This window comes from Homo sapiens, chromosome 4, assembly GCF_000001405.40.
Source record: "Homo sapiens chromosome 4, GRCh38.p14 Primary Assembly".
In the NCBI taxonomy this organism is placed as follows: Eukaryota; Metazoa; Chordata; class Mammalia; order Primates; family Hominidae; genus Homo; species Homo sapiens.
The window spans coordinates 108,848,447-108,867,264 of NC_000004.12; the positions used below are offsets into that span (position 1 = coordinate 108,848,447).

Sequence of the window (18,818 nt, forward strand, 5' to 3'; positions counted from 1 at the left end):
ATTCACTGACAAAAATTAGGCTAGTTTTACTAACTTGGTAATGATTTTACAAGTCTATTAAAAATTTGCAGGGGAGTCACTGGTAGGTTGATATAAAGTATTAAGAACAAAACTGAAGTATCATATGGCTTAGATGTTTTTGCGAAGAAAACTAATGTCTGCTTTTTAGAGTCAATGAAGTCTCTAGAACAAATGGTTAAAAGAAAGAGGGTATCAAATATCAATGCTCATGACATTTTGGCTTCAAACCTACAATAAAAGTAGTAATCAAGAATGATGCTTTAAATAATAGTATACATCTTTGAAAATTACCTGCTCTCCATCCATTCCTGGGATTCCTGGAGATCCCTGCTCTCCCTATTAAGATAAAAATAGATGACTTGCCTCCATTCTCATTGGTAACATACTGCACTACATAAAAAAACGATGCTAGTTTGTTAACACCACAATTTGACTTTCAGCAAATGCATCATAACCCGAGAATATTCTATTATAGCACATATCTAAACTAAGGGAAGTAATAATCTTTCTTCAAGATTATGTATAGTATTTATATGTAGCTAAGATCCAATGCTTTTAGTGTTTTTATTTTTTCTCCATGTGAGATGCAGGCTAAAAAAGAGTGGTCAAGGAAAACTGATAGACACAATTTGATAGCTGACCATATCCTATAGCAACAACCTATCTGCCTCAGTTAGTTAATTTTTTTCTCCATACAACCTCTGTATGATTTCTCTCACTTTCCAATTTCAGTAAAAAGGAAAACATAACAGTTAACCTAAAAAAGTAAAATGCAAAGCCCCATGAATTTTCAACAATATTTTAATTGGCACAGTTCAAACAGTTAGTTACAAATTCATGATTGTGAGTGTGCAATTTCCAGAAAAGCCTCACTGAAGGATATCATAAATCAGATATCTTAATGCATATGAAATAACTTTTAGATCAATTCAATTTCTTATACTGTGCTATGAATGAACTAAAATTTACTATTCATGTTATGATTTATAAGGATTTTTGACAAACTCAAAATATAGAGATTTTTGTTTGCTTTTTTAAACTGAAGATGTTCATTAAAAGCAAATTTATACAATACGCCAGAAAGTTAATCGAACAGCAAATGTTTAGTCACTTCTCAGTTTTGAAAGGTGACTAAATAAATTCCTTGAAAAGTAAGCATTATTTTGTATCAATGAGTCATTTATGTGGATCCCATTACAAATATCCCTGAATCCCACACTGTGGAAACTTTGTAAAAACAGCTCTTCTGAGTGTGAGAGGCCTGCCTCACAGACAGATTTCCAACGGAGCTGACCTGAGGCTGTATTTTCTAGAAAGGCCTGTTTGGTGATACTATAAACCACAATATTGAAATGGTTAGAGCTCCTTTCCCTGGTAAAAACTTTAAGAGCTATGAGGTACAGCATGAAATTTGAGCTTTCCAGTGTTTAAGGAAGGCATGATCTTGTGGTTATAAACAAATGAAGCAAGAAAAGCGGCGGGGGAAGGGCCTTTTCTTATTTCAGGTTTCCTGCTCTTTGTGGTAGCAGCAAATTTTATTTTGCCACAAACAAGTCTGCTGAGGTTGGATGCACCTGGCTAAGCCCTAGTTTCATTCAGAGTCTGAATACTTGTCAGCACTGTGGGTCCAATAATGATGGCTTTGCTAGGCTTTTCCCTTTAAAATATGATTCACAAGTGTTTAAAAGGAAAACATAATTCATGAGTTATTCATTTATCCTTCACCCCTCAAATGGGGTTTGTAAGAGTTATTTGATGTGTAGGGAATCAAACAATTCTTGTGTGATAAATGAAGGAGAAATGCTAATTGAGTAAGTTCCCATTCAGTCTGAATTCCAAGATCAGAAGGGGTTCTGTACTTGACTCAGGCTACATTTTGCTGTCTCTTGGTCATAGCTACATTCCACCCCAATTATCCCAACCTTCTCAAGGACAGACCATGAAAAACATAAAGGACTACATCAGCTAACACAAGATCTCAATTATAAGACCATTGTGGGGTGGGTGGGGTAGGGATGATAGCATACTGGGAAGGATGGCAAGGGTAGGAGGTAAGCGAGAATGACTCAACCCTCCTCCATATTGCTTGTCTAGATATTCATCTGGGCAACTTCTTCCTGTCTTTCAGTTTCAACTCAAAGCCACCCTTGGCTCTTAAGACTTAGAGGGACCTTCTATGCACTTACTCTATTAATAATTGTACCTTTACTTGCCTATCTCCCTCCCTAGGCCATAAGCCCTTTATTGGAATTTCTTTCTAGTATCCTTACTAGATATTAGTCCTTACCATAGAGTAGAGGCTCAAAAATTACTTACTGAATAACTGAATTAATACACGAATAGCAATTGGATTATAAAACCAGGGGAATATAGGTTTTAGTGATACAGATTTTTTACCTAGGAGGTCCTTTTTGCCTCTTTGGGTCAAAGAATGGGTGCCTTTGGGGCTTCTCTAGGCCTTTGGACTGTAGAGAAGAGAAAAGTCCTGGAAACTTTTGAGGTTTGTGGGAAATGAGATATGTATTTAGCTTTGGGGACAATTTTGGTTCTGGAGTCTTAGTCAAGCGAGGAGGTGAAATAATGAACTTAGACACTTGGTTGGTTCTACACAAAGGAAAAAAAGAAATTGCAGATTTCCTTCTAGGATATCTAGTCCAGCTCACCAAGATATTATTGAATGGGGATCCAGGCAGTGTTGCTCACCAAGAATAAAGATTATATATAGTTTTTTTGTGTTATGTCTCTTAGGGACCAGAATGTGCTGGAGAAATAGAAAGTTAAAAATCCCACACCTTATATTAATGTTATACAAGAAATCTATTTGAAATTAGGATCTATGTTCTAAATATATAGGCAAGGAGCTCAGTAATATTGTAATTTATATTCCTTTATATGATAGAAAAATAAAGTTTCTATATACTAGATTTCTGTTTTTAAGTATCTTGAGAGAGTATGAAAGCTGATACGTGTGAGTGTGTGTTATGACAGACTTAGCAAATAAACTGCCTTAAGAAGCATTAACAAAAGATGAATTCTGAAATAACTTGAATCTCCTACAAGAATCCAATGACGAAAGTCATATTTCAACACATGTAGCTCAGTTCTGAAAAGCCAGAATCACTGGCCATGTGTTAATTGATCAAACATGGTTGAATGACTAAGCTTCAGTTTGGAGGGATAAAGCCATCAACAAAGTTTAGATATAAAGCAATTCTAGCCTTCTACTATTTTTAGTTGGTATGTTTCATTAGATAAGATTTAAATGGCAAAATGTCTGAAAGTATATAATAAAGAATGCATTATGAAAAATGATTCCTAAAATTTTGATTTGTGAATGCACCATACTAAAACTTTTCTTACTCTTTTTACTATAAAAGCATTAGAAGCAAGGATCTTTCTTGGTGTCAAGTTAAATTTTCTCTAATCCTCCTTTAATCAAACATTTTCTTTTGTTTTCATACACCACATTTAGTGTTTTTTACATTTATAATTTCTGTGGAACTTGTTTTTCCCTTGTTTAATATCTTTTTTCAATGTCTTCCCTAAATTAAATTTCTCTCTCTTCTTTTCCTATTTTCCCTTCTTCTTTTCTAATTTTCTATCTTCCTTCAGTCCAGACCTCAATTTCTTTTCTTCGCTCTCTAAAACAATACTGTTGATCTCAGCTTCTTCAGCATTTTGTAAGACTGATTTTCAAAGATGCATATACTTAATACGGTATTCCCTGCACTGTATGTGATAAATGGAAACAAGTAAATAAAGAATAACCTTTGGCCCTTGTAGTCCTTGAGGTCCAGGAGGTCCAGGGGGACCCTAAATCAAGAAAAAGCACAGTTTTTAAAAGTAGTAATTATATGTATTAAAATTCATACCTTAAATAGGCACACTATACACCTTCCTTATTTCTATCGTAATCAGATCTCCCCAAATATAAATTTGCAATGAGGAAAAATTTTACTAGTTACATAATTAGAAAAAAACACCTATTTATATGCTAAAATATTAACACATTTGAGGTCAAAATAATGTGGAAGGTGCTTCTGGGTAGATTCGGTAAGGCAATGTAAAATTGCTGCCATGCTCCACACTCATCGTATTGGGATGAATTAGCATACGAATATTAGCTTTGTTTCTACATACACTCCTTACCCCTCCACCCCAAAGGCGTTGATTTCCCAAACCCTAAAGAATAAAGCTATATTGTTCAGATAAGGCCAGAGACTTTTAAGAAAATTAGCAATCACTTTTTTCTTGACCTTTTCACTAAGCAGACAAAGTGATTCAACTGGAGCAAATGTAAAAGATTATTAATACAAGAAAACATAAAATTAAGTATCAGATAAAAACAATAGCTACATTAGTACCATTTTGGCTGGCATGCATCAACACCAAATACAAAACCACAAACCACAGAAAGCATGCAATAGGAGTTACCGTGACAGTTAAGGTGGTAATCCTCTGTTGGGAAAATGTGTTGACAAAGACAGAGTTATCTATTTTGTGTGCCAAAGTACAGTAATACATTTGTGAAATAATCAACTTTTTGAATATGTTTGGCTAGTCTGATATCTTAAAAGGATTTGACAAGATACTGAGAACATATTACCCTATCTTCAATACAGTATAGTTGTAGAGATTTTTTAAAAATTATTTTTAGAATCCTATTTAAAAAATCTATGGCTGAAGAAAAAGAAATGTCAAAATTTTAATTCACCTGATTGAAAAAAATAATGCAGTAAAGTCATATATGCTAGAGGCTTGTCAGTATAATTGTGAACTGAGAAATTTTGCTATTGATAAAAGCACTATTCTAGAGAGTACTTCATTAGAGAAAACTGAAATACCCAATTGCATATTTTTTCTCTTTTAGTCTGCAGCTCATTTGTTGCATTAAAACTAACTTTGTGTTTGTGCGTGTGTGTGTGTGCGTGTGTGTGTGCCATAACTAAAGATATTAGTCGACATAGAATTAATCTAATTTCCTTTTTTTTGGCATTCCAATTTTTTTGTGAACTTAATCAGAAAAACAAATGAGTTTTTAAAATTTATTGATTGATTGATTTATTATACTTAAGTTCTGGGATACATGTGCAGAATGTGCACATTTGTTACATAGGTATACATGTGCCATCGTGGTTTGCTGCACCCATCAACTCGTCATCTACATTAGGTATTTCTCCAAATGCTATCCCTCCCCTTGCCCCCCACCCCCTGACAGGCCCTGGTGTGTGATGTTCCCCTCCCTGTGCCCATATGTTCTCATTGTTCAACTCCCACTTATGAGTGAGAATATGTGGTGTTTGGTTTTCTGTTCCTGGGTTAGTTTGCTGAGAATGATGGTTTCCAGCTTCATCCATGTCCCTACAAATGACATGAACTCATTCTTTTTTATGGCTGCATAGTATTCCGTGGTGTATATGTACCACATTTTCTTTATCCAGTCTATCATTGATGGGCATTTGGGTTGGTTCCAAGTCTTTGCTATTGTGAATAGTGCTGCAATAAACACACATGTGCATGTATCTTTATAGTAGACTGGTACCAAAACAAATATATAGACCAATGGAACAGAACAGAGGCCTCAGAAATAACACCACACACCTACAACCATCTGATCTTTGACAAACCTGACAAAAACAAGCAACGTGGAAAGGATTTCCTATTTAATAAATGGTGTTGGGAAAACTGGCTAGCCATATGCAGAAAACTGAAACTGGACCCCTTCCTTAAACCTTATACAAAAATTAACTCAAAACGGATTAAAGATTTAAATGTAAAACCTAAAACCATAAAAACCCTAGAAGAAAACCTAGGCAATACCATTCAGGTCATAGGTATAGGCAAAGACTTCATGACTAAAACACCAAAAGCAGTGGCAACAAGAGCCAAAATTGACAAACAGAATCTAATTAAACTCAAGAGCTTCTGAATAGCAAAAAAACTACCATCAGAGTGAACAGGCAACCTACAGAAAGGGAGAAAATTTTTGCAATCTATCCATCTGACAAAGGGCTAATATCCAGAATCTACAAAGAACTTAAATTTACAAGAAAAAAAACCAATCCCATTGAAAAGTGGGCAAAGGATATGAACAGACATTTTTCAAAAGAACACATTTATGCAGCCAACAAACATATGAAAAAAAGCTCATCATCACTGGTCTTTAGAGAAATGCAAATCAAAACCACAATGAGATACCATCTCATGCCAGTTAGAATGGCGATCATTAAAAAGTCAGGAAACAACAGATGCTGAAAAGGATGTGGAGAAATAGGAACACTTTTACACTGTTTGTGGGAGTGTAAACTAGTTCAACCATTGTGGAAGACAGTGTGGCAATTCCTCAAGGATCTAGAACTAGCAATACCATTTGACCCAGCAATCCTATTACTGGGTATATACTGAAAGAATTAATCTAATTTCTTAAAGTGTTAGAGAACTGTAACAAAATATACCGTGTCTAAGTCTGAATCTCTAAAACATAATTCCTGATCCATGAATCATATTTTTGAATTAACATTTTTCTGGTCTAGGTTCTGTGCTGAAAGTTCTATGGGGTTGATAACCACTTTATGAAATCACAGAGGGGAGAACATTTCCTTTAGGGACTCTGGTCATAGAGAAACATTATTCAATTACATTCAAACTTGTAGGTATCAGTTGAACACCATCCTTCTGTTTTCCACTGTTCCACTCCAATTTCTGATTTGAGCTGTTGTTACTGTTTTTTTTTTTTATTTTTTAAATTGTTGTAAAAGGTAAAATGTCCACAAACTGGGGGCAAGGTTATAAGAAAAAAATAAGGTCCCAGAATTTTACACCACCAGATCTGTGTAACATAATTCCATTCAGTTTATGCTTCAGGAATTCACCTAGAACAAGAATTGGATTTGTAGTTATGGTAAAGCTACTTTTTTTTTGTTGTTCCTACAGTGTAGAGAAGTCATTTAAACAAGGCTATCAGAAAATTAAGGAGTAGAAATAATTTCTTTATCATTGTCTTCCAATTACATGTTACTTTTTAACTAGAAAACAGGATCATAAAGCCCTAAAAAGGAAAGGGATTTTCAAATTTGAGCTCTCTGAGGTTTTCCAACATGTGCCATATACTAATTCATTTTTCACCTGAACATAATGCTAGTTTGTATTTTTTTAAATTTAAAGATAACATGTTTAATAATGAGCTGCAAAATAAAAGAATATTATTAATAGTAACTGACCTAACAGATGGAGTTTAAATGATTTTGTTAAATAACTATGTTTGTGAAACTTTAAAATTGTATAATGTTCCATCCAGCTAATAGGTTTCAATGACAACAAACTGAGCTAACTTCACAAATACATAGTCTTGACCACCAACTGGAAGCACCAGTATGCAGACACACAGAGAAGTCCTAACGATGTGGCTCACTGTGCATTTCTTATATGTGGCAAATCCAAGTTAAAGCTATATAAACTCAACAGGATTCTCTTTTGAACTCAAATAATGATTTGAAAGTCAGAATTTTTGGTGGTGATGGAGAAAGACATGGCATTCTCTAGTGAGACGCGACGTGAAATGGGAGGCATGAACTACAGAAACTGCAAATTGGGTAAAGCCCAGCAGCCTGCTTTGTGATTTATTCCCTGAAATGTTTATCTGAATCTCTTTAGAATTAAAGGTTACTTTCTTTCATTTCTCATAATGATGAAAGCTTAAACTCGCCCACGATTCATACTAGAGAACAGGTTTAGTTTAGATGGCGATGAGAATTTTTTAAAGAGTCAGTTAGGAAACAGAGGTTTTACTGCTAATTTGTAGAAATTTAGCCACCTTAAATAAAAATAAATAGCTTATGGCAATGTTTATGTAAATCACAATCTTCAATAGAGGCAACAGTAAAATTTTATATTTCTAATATGGTATGATTATAACTGTAATATATTTCTATTTATCTGATTATCCTAGAGTATTTTTGGCAGATTGTTTTAAAAGGGATAACAATGACATACCTGCAAAACTGTAAATATCCATCACTGGTTAGAGAATTAGAAGAATAAATGTCTACCATCTCTTCTCAATCTAATGTATTAATTTTATGAGGGACTCAATTCACTAGAGCACTATGTTAGGGAAACCAATAGTTTTGATGTGAAAAGATAACTATAAGCTATTTATAAGCATGGCAAATAGTTGCCTCACAACCAACCCAATAAGAATAATAAACATTTAGGTTGAGACATAAGCATGAACTAGTTGACTATGATGGATATTGGCTGTTTAGTAGTCATATACAATTAAAGATGAGAAAAAGAAACAGAAGTATATCGTTTCATATTGAAATATAGGTGTCACATTTTTTAAAAAGTACAATGCTTTTAGGCATATCAGTAAAAAGTGTTCAGAAGCTCTGAAAAATCACCCTAAGAATAGTATTAGGTTTCGTGGACTCATAGAAAAAAATTTATTCCAATAACATCCTTATTTTGCAGATAAGATCAATGAAGTATAGATACATTAAGCAATTTTCCCCAAATGACTGAGCTAATAGAGGGGAGATCAAAATAGAGATTTCCATTTTAGACTAAGGATAGCTTGCCTCATGCCAGGCCCAGTTCATGCAAAGAATGCTTTGAGAACTTGATCACAGTGTTGCAGAAAATGCCCAATTATATTGGAACAGTTCTTGGAGGATAAGAAAGTAGATACCTCTTAAAGGTAGCTGGAATTATGGGGCCACTGGAAGTAGTTCAAGGGCAATTTACAACATTGCTAATAAACTAAGTTTTTAAAAAGTCCCTATATTTTATAAGAACTTTGAAAACAGTAGGCACACCAAAACTTTGTGTTCCCTGTCTCTGTCTCCCTTTCTTTCCTTACATAGTTATCAACTTGTGGGGAAAAGGGAATAATTTAGAAAACTAGTTCTAGAATTTGACAGTAACCCAGAGGCCACTACTTACATCGAATCCAATTACACAGAGGAACACTAATTCAAGCTCCTAACTAAAGATACTGTCCAAGCAACATTTCTCCAAGCAGTAAACATGCTTCTGTTTGTATTTTACCAGAAGAAAAATAATGAAAAGGCCAAAAAATAGGCTGAGCTGAAAATAGATTTAAAAAAAAAAAACGACTTAGTGCTCTACTAGTTAAAAATGATAGTTGGAGCAAAGAACCTATACAGGTACAGATCTGTCATAATTAGATTGTGTTAGTAAAATCATAAAGATGGAAAAATAATTCAAACAGGTACAAAGTAGCAGAGATATATTTAAAACAACTAATTCGGCTTACAAGCAAAGAAATGGCTTGTACATACGAATGAAGTATACTTATTCAACCAATAACCATTTACTTAATATTTACATATCTGGTTAATATAAGCATAAAATGTTTTTCTGTCACCAAGCTTACAATCTCATAAGAGGTAAGACTAAAATCAACTATGGAGTTTGATTTTAAATAGTAAACCACTAGAACCCCACCACTAATGTTTAAAAGGATTAAGAGGAAGAACTCATCTGAGTGGCAGCAGTGGATTGTTGTGTAGAATTTATATGGGAAAGAAAGGAAGGAAGAATGGGATGAACACATGCAAAAAGGAGGAGACTTGTATGGATATGATAACAATGATTATATCAGGGGGAATTCTGCTGTGGAGAAATGAAAAGTTCTCCACAGGAAGGGCATGACTATAGAGGATTAAGATGGAGAAGCTTGGGCTTGATAGAACAGACAGTAGGGGGGTCATTAAGGTTTCTGAGCAAATTAGAACCATCGAAGCCATGATCATTTATAAAAATTAATCTTGGAGTGATACACAAGATGAATTAGAAGGACCAGGAGGCACTAGGGAAAGAGTCATTGGTCAAGGAGCTGTTGCTGTATTAGGCATGAAGTAAACAGGATGTGGACTCAGTTAGGAATGGAAAGAACAGGCAATCTCAAGAGATACTTTGAAAAAGGAAATAGCAGCCCCTTGGTGAGACAGAATAAGTAAAGGACTAAGAATAGTTTAAAAATGACTCTAAACTTTCTATTCCCTCAAAATTCAGATTCATGGTATCACTAACAGAAACCGGTCACTTAAAAAAGGGACTCATTTCGTAGGTGGGAAAGGTAACCAGTATAATTGTATTGGTGGAAGCTGATAAGGCATTCATACATCCATAATGGAAATATTCTTGGACAGCTGGGGGCATACACAGATTATATCTAGAGATGAAAGAATTGAGAGCCATAATGTGGAAGAACACAGAGGGAGTGACTGTACCAAGAAAAGATCAGAGACTTGAGGATACCAAAAACTAGGGAATAGACAGACAAATTAGAAACACCAAAATAAAGGTGATACGCCAGAGAAAAAAAATGGAAAAAATGAAAGTAGAAGGTCAGAGAGACAAAAAAAAAGTTTCAAAGGAAGGTGGTTTGATATCAATATCACAAAAATGTCAGGGGCGATGAGTCCAGTGGACTTGACATAGAAGTTATTGTTGACCTTTGTAAGAGAAGATGCAACAGAATGATGATAGAGGCTAGAATGCAGGAGTCTAAACATGAAAAGAATGAATAGGAAGCAAAGGTGATAGAAACAAGCCACATAGTCTATTGCTTACTTAATAAGAAGAAAAGAATTATATGGTAGCAGTAATAAGAAATACAGAGGGCTTACTATGTACCAGGAACTGTTCTAAGAGTATAATATATATTGTGCCATTTGCTCTTCTCAACAAGGCTATGAGGCAGATACTGCTACCATCCTCATTCTGTAGATGGGAAAACTGAGGCACAGAGAAGTGAAATAACTTGCCCTAGGTCACACATTTAGTAAACAAGAGAGCTGAGATTTGAATGCAAGCAGCTCCAGCCCCAGAGGCACAGAGCTCTTGATTGCCTTGCCACATTCCCTCTGCAAGGAAGGAGGCAAAAATTGGCCAAACTAACACAAGGTTTATCCCTCATAAGGCTTAACTATATCTGAAGGTGGAAGGGAAAGGAAAGAAATGATTGAAAAATGCTACAAAATAAAGAAGATAAACTGGGGCACAGAGAAGGGGATGAGTTCTTGAGAACAGGGAGAAGGGGTGCCTTGAGCAGTGGAGTCCTCTGAGGATAGAGGGTGTGGAAGCTCATATTTGCACACATTACATGGGTGCTCCTCAGCATCCTTCTCAGTGTGTGTCAGGGCAGGGACCAGTCACTTGCCTGTAAGGCTTCGTGGAGGTTGCCGTTGTAGTCTATGATCTCAGTGGCTCCTTGATCCCCTTTTTGACCAGGTGGACCCTATGACAAAACCAATCAAGGGAAAATCATGGGTATTAGCTTAGCATGTAGGGTGGACTGTGGCAGAAACAGAAATACAACTCACAGCTCTCTCTGAATATCATTTCCCTACTAAGGCCCAACTGTACTTTAGAATATATAAATAATTATGTTCAAAATGTATCCTTATCTCAAAGGAGGCAAACCACTTCTTATATCCTGTCTTTGGTAGGTTCAATATATGAAATCTGATAAAAAATACGATTTAATTTTTGAAACTATTTTCTGAAAATTACAATATAGGCTACTCTGATGTGACATGTAAAATTTTATTTGCTTTATTCATATTTATTAAAGCATCCTCTAACCTTTTGTTCCTCATCCATACCTCATACATTGCTTCCTCATTCTTTTTTTGAGACGGAGTCTCACTCTGTTGCCCAGGCTGGAATGCAGTAGCGTGATCTCGGCTCACTGCAACCTCTGCCTCCTGTGTTCAAGCAATTCTCCTGCCTCAGCCTCCCATGCACCACCATGACCAGCTAGTTTTTGTATTTTTAGTGGAGACAGAGTTTCACCATGTTGGGCAGGCTGGCTTTGAACTCCTGACCTCAGGTGATCCACCAGCCTTGGCTCCCAAAGTGCTAGAATTACAGGTGTGAGCCACTGCACCTGGCCGTCATTCTTTAAAAAGATAGAACATTGTTCTGTAGAAAAATACTTGGCTTTCCCATCAGGAATGAATGCCACAAAAATTAAACAAAATAGGGAACAAACAATAGAATACATGTATATTTTTAAGACTTCTACCCTGCTTATTAGATCTGCTACTTAATTTCCATTAGTCATGTCATAATTCCCTTTTTTTTTAAAAAAAGACACTGAACATATGGGTTATTGCTTTCTTTATAATTGAGTTAATTGAAAAGTGGAAAATTCCATTAGCTGGATGGGAACAGAGGGAAAGTAGACAGGGGGAGTTCTTTAGGCCTTCTCAAAGAAGCTTAGTTTATGTGTTGGAATCCCTACATGCACTGCTCCTGGTGAGGAAAATAAAGGAGGTAGGGGTGTTTCAGGAATAATTACAGTAGTCTACCTCCAATACTATTATTAAGTATTATTAATACAGATGTCATATGAATAGCCATGCAGACATGAATTCAAATCTGGGATTGTAGGGAGCAAAAGTTTAGATGGATGAGAGGAACACTCACCCTTGGTCCCTGAGCTCCAGAGTCCCCTTTTTCTCCACGATCCCCCTTTTCCCGTTGGAAAGAGAAAAAACTTAATCAGAAGTGGGGGAATCTAGAAATCTCGTGTAAGAACATGTTTATGCCATACAGAAGCACCTTTAATATGAACTTCTGAAGTGAAAAACAACAGCAACCACCACCAAAATAGCAAATGCTTTTTTAAGATGCAGCTTGAAAAGAACTAAAATTCCTTTTTTTAAAAAACTCCCTTTTCAGGTAATAGAGTATCTTGAAACAACAATATATATGGTAACTGTCTCACTAGGTAGGATCTGCAAAGGCAAAGCAAGTGGTTTCTATGGCACCCAAAGTAAGCTTTTACCTTGCAAATTGAGCCATTTTCTTCCTTTTTATGAAGAGATTTGGGGCAAAGGGAAAAAGAGCCAACAATTGTTTTTCCTCTGAGAAGAAAAGTGTAGATAGTTGGGACAGGAAAGGAGTAGAGAGCTCATTCTAGGGAGAATTAGGAAAGGAAGGTCACAGGCTAGGCCTCCCTCTGATGATGGGGATCTAAGGAAAAGTTCATCTGTAGGTATAGGCATTTTAACACTCAGTGCTGAAGTGGACAGCAGCCAGCTGGAACAGGTTGGCAGCGCTGAAGGTCAGGGGCAGGGCAAACCCAGCTCTCTCTCTTTTTTCAATGCAATAGGAAATTTATCTGAAGTTTCATTGATGGTGGCATTACCTCAACTGTAGAGCAGCAGGAATAGTCCAAGCCCTCAAAATTCTTAGAAATGTAAACTGAAACTTTGGAGAAGAGATTCGAACCTGTGTAGATTTAAAGGTTCTTTAAAACAGCCTTAAATTGATAGGGTTCTTTTTCTGTATGGACTTCAAAGCATTTTTATATGTCTTTCTACAGATTCCTATAAACTGGGTAAGGATGAATAAAGATAAGCAGGAAAAAGGATTATAATTCTTCCCATCCACAGTATGCCAATAACATTGATCATAATAAATTTGCTATGAATGAAGCATTAATAATCTTTGCTCTCTGTTTTCTTCATCTTGCACACATTTTTTTCCACATTAGTAGCTAACAGCATTTTAAATAATATGATTCTGCTGACAGTATATATGTTATTGCAGATAGTATAAAGAGTATGATATAGAGGAGAATTTCAATTGGCAGTAGAATTTTAATGCAACGAAGGGAGTCAACTAAAAAGCAGAGTATAATTCGAGCATTTATCACAAAGACAGCGAGGAAATGAAAAATTAGATTATACAATACACAATTTAAGGAAAGTTCTTAATTTTTTTCAAAGAAGCTATTCCTATGAAATAGGAAATACAACTTCTCTTAAAGAATTTTCTGAAGCACTAGACTATTCAAAAACAAGCAAGATGAAACAAACGTATTGTTTTGAGATATCATCATAGGGATACTGCAATCCCTTTTGCAATAAGTATTGCAGTTCCACTGTGTGAAAGAGTTTAATCTAAAACATGAAAAACATGCCTCTGTGGCAAAGGCAAAAAGCACAGATCTTGAAGGCCTCATGTTATATTTAAATGGTTATCTGGTTACTGACCTTTGACCCCTTTGGGCCTCTAGTTCCTGATTCACCTTGTTTCCCCTATTACAGCAGAATAAGAGGATGAAAAAGATAAAATTATAGAAGAGATAAGAACAGAAAAATAGAAATTAGCAGTGACTCAGAATAATGAAGAAAAATGGAAACACTTTATTTTAACTGCCTCAATATATGGCTCTACAGAATGTCGGTTATTATAATACTAAACATAAGTATCATCACCATATCATCAATTCATTCCATTATTATTTTGAAGGCTGCCCTCCCATCAGTGGATGAGAAGAGTTCTGTGAATAATTCTCATTAGTCTCAACAGTGTTTGGCTGCATCAATTTCCTTTTCATCAGTGAGTAAATAGTTTCCTGTGTCTCTAGGATGGGCTATTAAAATAAAGTGTGACCACATTAGTTTGCAGAAAGTTTAAATGAATAAGGTCAAACAGACAAATAAGTCCTTAGCTCTAATATTTTCAAGGTGTTACACTCCATTAAGTTACCATAGAAACTAACACAGCACTTATCAACAGGGATTTTTTTTCAGTAAGTTTTAATACACATTGAGTGATAATGTGTTAATATGACAGCACTTCTTTTACATTTGGATATGCTATCAATTTGCTCACTGAACAGAACAGAGTTAACAGGGTGAGGTGAATTGTAAAATCTCTTTTGAAAAGAACCAGTTGGTGTGCATTTCAACAAACTATTTGTGATTTGGGCTGTTTTAATACCTGTTAAGAATGTTGTTTTAGTTTTTTGTGTTCTAAATCAAATCAAGCCAGAGAATGGTTATTTTCCAGTTTAAGAATAACTCACCTTTGGTCCGGGGGCTCCAGGTTCCCCTCGCTCACCTCTTCCAGGAGGCCCTGCTTCCCCCCGTTCACCCTGTCACAAATTGCAAAACAGGTAAATGGTCATTCCCCCCACCCAGGCTGGTCCCTGTAGATTAATAAATGAGTTGAAGGAAACCAAAGAAAGCAGAGAGTTTTCATTGATTTACCCTGTACCCAGCACTTTATTAATCTCTTAACATGAATTATCTCATTTTATAATCAAAACAATTTGTGATGGTTAATTTTAGGTGTCAACTTGACTGGATTAAGGGACACATAGAAAGATAATAAAGCACTGCTTCTGGGTTGTCTGTGAAGGTGTTAATGGAGGAGATTGGCAGGTGAGTCTGTTGACTGAGTACGGAAGATCTACTTTCAACGTGAGGGGGCACCATCAAATCTGCTGGGGGCCCAGATAGAAGAGGAAAGGCAAACTCTCTCTTCCGCAGCTGAGAGCCCTTCCTCTCAGTCCTTGGACATCAGAACTCCAGGTTCTCTGGCCTTTGGATTTTGGGACTTGTACCAGTGCCCCTCAGGCTCTTATGCCTTCAGCCTCAGACTGAAAGTTACACCATCTGCCTCCCTGGACCTGAGGCCTTCAGACTTGGACCGAGCCATGCTACCGTCAACCCAGGGTCTCCTCCAGCTTGCAGATAGCCTGTTGTGGGACTTCTCAGCCTCTATAATTGTATGAGCCAATTCCCCTCATAAATCCCCACTCATCTATCTATCTCCCTATATATATCCTATTGGTTCTGTCTCTCTGGAGAAACTTGACTAATATGCAATTATCCAATGTTTGTATTATCATCTCCATTTTACAGATAAGGAAATGGTTTGGTAAATGCCTGTCAAATAGCTATGTTGGTAAATAGAAAGACCTTTAAAGGGAATTGATAAAGGCCATCATTATACCTCAAGATAGGAATGAATATCCATTTTCATTCTGCAGTCACTTTTTAAGCACTGCTGGCAAGAAGCATGGCAAAGTGGTTAAGTTCCTGGCTCTGTAATCTAGCATCTTAGGTTTTACTCCTGGCTCTGCTATTTACCAATTCTGTGTTCTAGGGTAAGTTAGTTAGGTTTTGTACATCTCAGTTTCCTCAGTAAAATGGACAAAGTTATAGTACTCATCTCATAGTTTATGAATGTAAAAGTGTTCGGGTTTTACAGTTTTTTAATATATTCATATCTCTATGAAGTATAAATATGGCTACTGTCCTCAAGGAGCTAGTGATCTAGTTAGGCAGACAAGAGCTGCAGAACCAAAATAGTTAAGGATTAAGGAGTAATGTAAGGCCCTATGTGACAGAAGGGGAATCCCTGTTGGTATCTATTATTGTGGATTGGATCCCTGGAGGTGAGACTTGAGTCGTGTCCTGAAGGATGAGTAGGGTTTATTTCATAATTATTGCTGTTAATGACTGTAGCATGGATGAGTGCAGAAACTGCACAAAACACTTTACATGTATTATCCTATTTAATCCTCAGGACAAATGAGAAAAGTTTTATTATCCATATTCTACAGATGAGGAAGCCAAAGTTTGGAGAGGTTAAGTAACTTGCTCAAAGTGACAAAGCTTTTAAAGTGGGTAAAACTGATGGTACTCGATCTTCAACTTTTGCATAAATGTTTCAAATGTAAATCTTTTGCACATCGTTGATCATTTTCTCAGGATAAATTCCTAGTTGGAAAATTGCTAGGTCAAAAAAGTATGAATATTTTTAAAAACTTGCTAAATTGCCCTCCAGGAAGATGGTACCTTTTAATACTCCCTAAACACAGAGTAAAGAGTGTCTGGCTTCTTGCATAAGGGGTAGAATTTCAATCATCAAACATTTAGAATTCAGACTGTTGATGACATATTTATGGATGAAAGAGGTGCTCTCCTCACTGAAGGAAATACTTCATCTTGGAAAAGATAAGAAAATAGAATTAGATCTATGGTGGGTCATGTAGGGCTTGAAATTCCAAGATTCTTATCTGTATCATGCCCACTTTGGGAAGCCTTTGTGGTTTTATAGGGGAGGTGGGATAGGTTAGTCAAGGGTTAAGAAAGACAGGAGGCAAGTGTTAAAGACTCAGGTTTCTTAACAGCACTGAAGAGGTTGTGAAAATGGAGAGGTTGGGAGAAAGACAAGGGACTTCTCTAGATACAGGAGATAGACACAATGGCCCAGAAATGAAAAGAGTTTTTGCTTTTTGTCATCCCCCACCCCATTACCCTGTTGAGTGAGACTAAGGAGCTTCTATTGGTATATAAAAATTATTAAAAAACTGTAAAGTATTTGGTGTTTCTTTTAATGTTTTACTTTAAGAATTACAGAATTCTAAAACAGTCCACTATGAAAAACAAAAACCCTTAAAAATAATTTATCTGTAGTTCACCACAAGAGTGAAGTCAATACATCTTTACTTTTTAACATTTATATATTTTTAGAGAGGGGACCTTGCTATGTTGCCTAGGCTGGTGTACAGTGGCTATTCACAGGCACTATCATAGCACACTATAGCCTCAAACTCCTGGACTCAAGTAGTCCTCTGGCCTCAGCCTCCTGAGTAGGTAGGATGACAGGTGTGCACCACCACACTCAGCTAGAATCACTTTTTATTATGTCTCTTATTAGTTCCCTATCACTCTCTGAAATTATATTATTTGTCTACTTCTTTCCCTCCTTCCATCTCTTCCTTGTCCACACTACAATGTAAGCTTCAGGAGAATAGAAACTGTTGCTGTTGCATTTACTTCCCATGCTTAAATGCAGAAAAATATTTGATCAAAACATTGGTGAATTAATGAATAAACAGTATTAGTAAAAGTATTCTAAAATATTCTGACTATAGTCCCATTTCTTTTCTTTCTTTTTTTTTTTTTTTTTGAGGTCTCACTCTGTCACCCAGGCTGGAGAGCAGTGTTGTGATCTCGGCTCACTGCAACCTCTGCCTCCTGGGCTCAGGTGATCCTTCCACCTCAGCCTCCTAAGTAGCTGGGACTACAGGCATGCGCCGCCATGCCCAGATGATTTTTGTATTTTTAGTGGAGATGGGGTCTCATCATGTTGCCCAGGCTGATCTCAAACTCCTGGGCTCAAGCAATCTGCCTGCCTCAGCCTCCCAAAGTGCTGGGATTACAGGCGTAAGCCACCATGCCCAGGCCCCTCCCCCTATTTCCTTAGCCTGATAGAGGTCCCTCTCAGGCACTAATGTAGGTATAAAAGATGCAGCATGTTTTGATGCCATTGTACATCTTCCTTCATTATGATCTCTCCTCACTGTGTTGGGAATAAGAAATATAGTCTTAGTTACTTTTTAAATCTGAATTTAGTGGTACAAATCCAGACTGTCTACACAAGTGGAAGAATGGTGTTCAGCTGAAAGAGATTTTTAAAATAACCATGACTTTCCCATGATGACACTGAACCAACCATAACATTGATACTTAACATATGTGGATTCAACACAAATTAGATATTTCAAATAATACCGATGATGTGTGTATATGTGTGCACATGCATGTTGCTGTTTTAACAGCTGAGTTAAGGTAGGTAATTCAGCTGACAATTAACCTCAAAGTAATGTTAGTAAAATGAATTTCCTATCCATATCCCTTCTGTGGAAATACAAAATAGGTAGAATACATTCTTTAGTTTTACTCAGGGTTCAGAGTAGTATCTGTTATATGAGTACCTGGTCTATAAAATCATGCTGGGTTCTTCATAACAGTAATTAATGTGGATTTTATGCCTCTACATCTGGAAATTTTTCTGAAACTGCAGAATAGTTTAAAATCAGGAAACTAAAGAAAAGATATTTAGGAATGAACTTCACTCTCTACTGCTTGTGTTTTTTCTATTTTCCCTTGCACAGCACACAAAATGCCACACACACTTTTAGATCCAGTTCACGCCTGGCTTTCTCCTTCATTGAC

At 36.3% G+C, this 18,818-nt stretch overlaps 1 protein-coding gene across 11 annotated transcripts in view; it reads right to left on the reverse strand.

Moving 5' to 3' along the window:
• The window catches only part of COL25A1 (collagen type XXV alpha 1 chain), a 493,934-nt gene that overhangs the window by 39,722 nt on the left and 435,394 nt on the right, over positions 1-18,818 (reverse strand). For 10 of the 11 annotated variants that reach the window (NR_045756.3, XM_011532335.3, XM_011532334.3 and 7 more), the window contains 7 exons: positions 14,873-14,941; positions 14,055-14,099; positions 12,481-12,525; positions 11,210-11,287; positions 4,456-4,479; positions 3,790-3,834; positions 313-357 (listed from right to left, as the gene is read on the reverse strand). Coding sequence is in view for 10 of the 11 variants with exons in the window: in XM_011532335.3 (XP_011530637.1) it covers positions 313-357; positions 3,790-3,834; positions 4,456-4,479; positions 11,210-11,287; positions 12,481-12,525; positions 14,055-14,099; positions 14,873-14,941 (351 nt within the window). In the remaining variant the exon portion in view is untranslated. The remainder of the gene's footprint in view (positions 1-312; positions 358-3,789; positions 3,835-4,455; positions 4,480-11,209; positions 11,288-12,480; positions 12,526-14,054; positions 14,100-14,872; positions 14,942-18,818) is intronic. The other variant, NM_001256074.3, reaches the window with a different exon arrangement.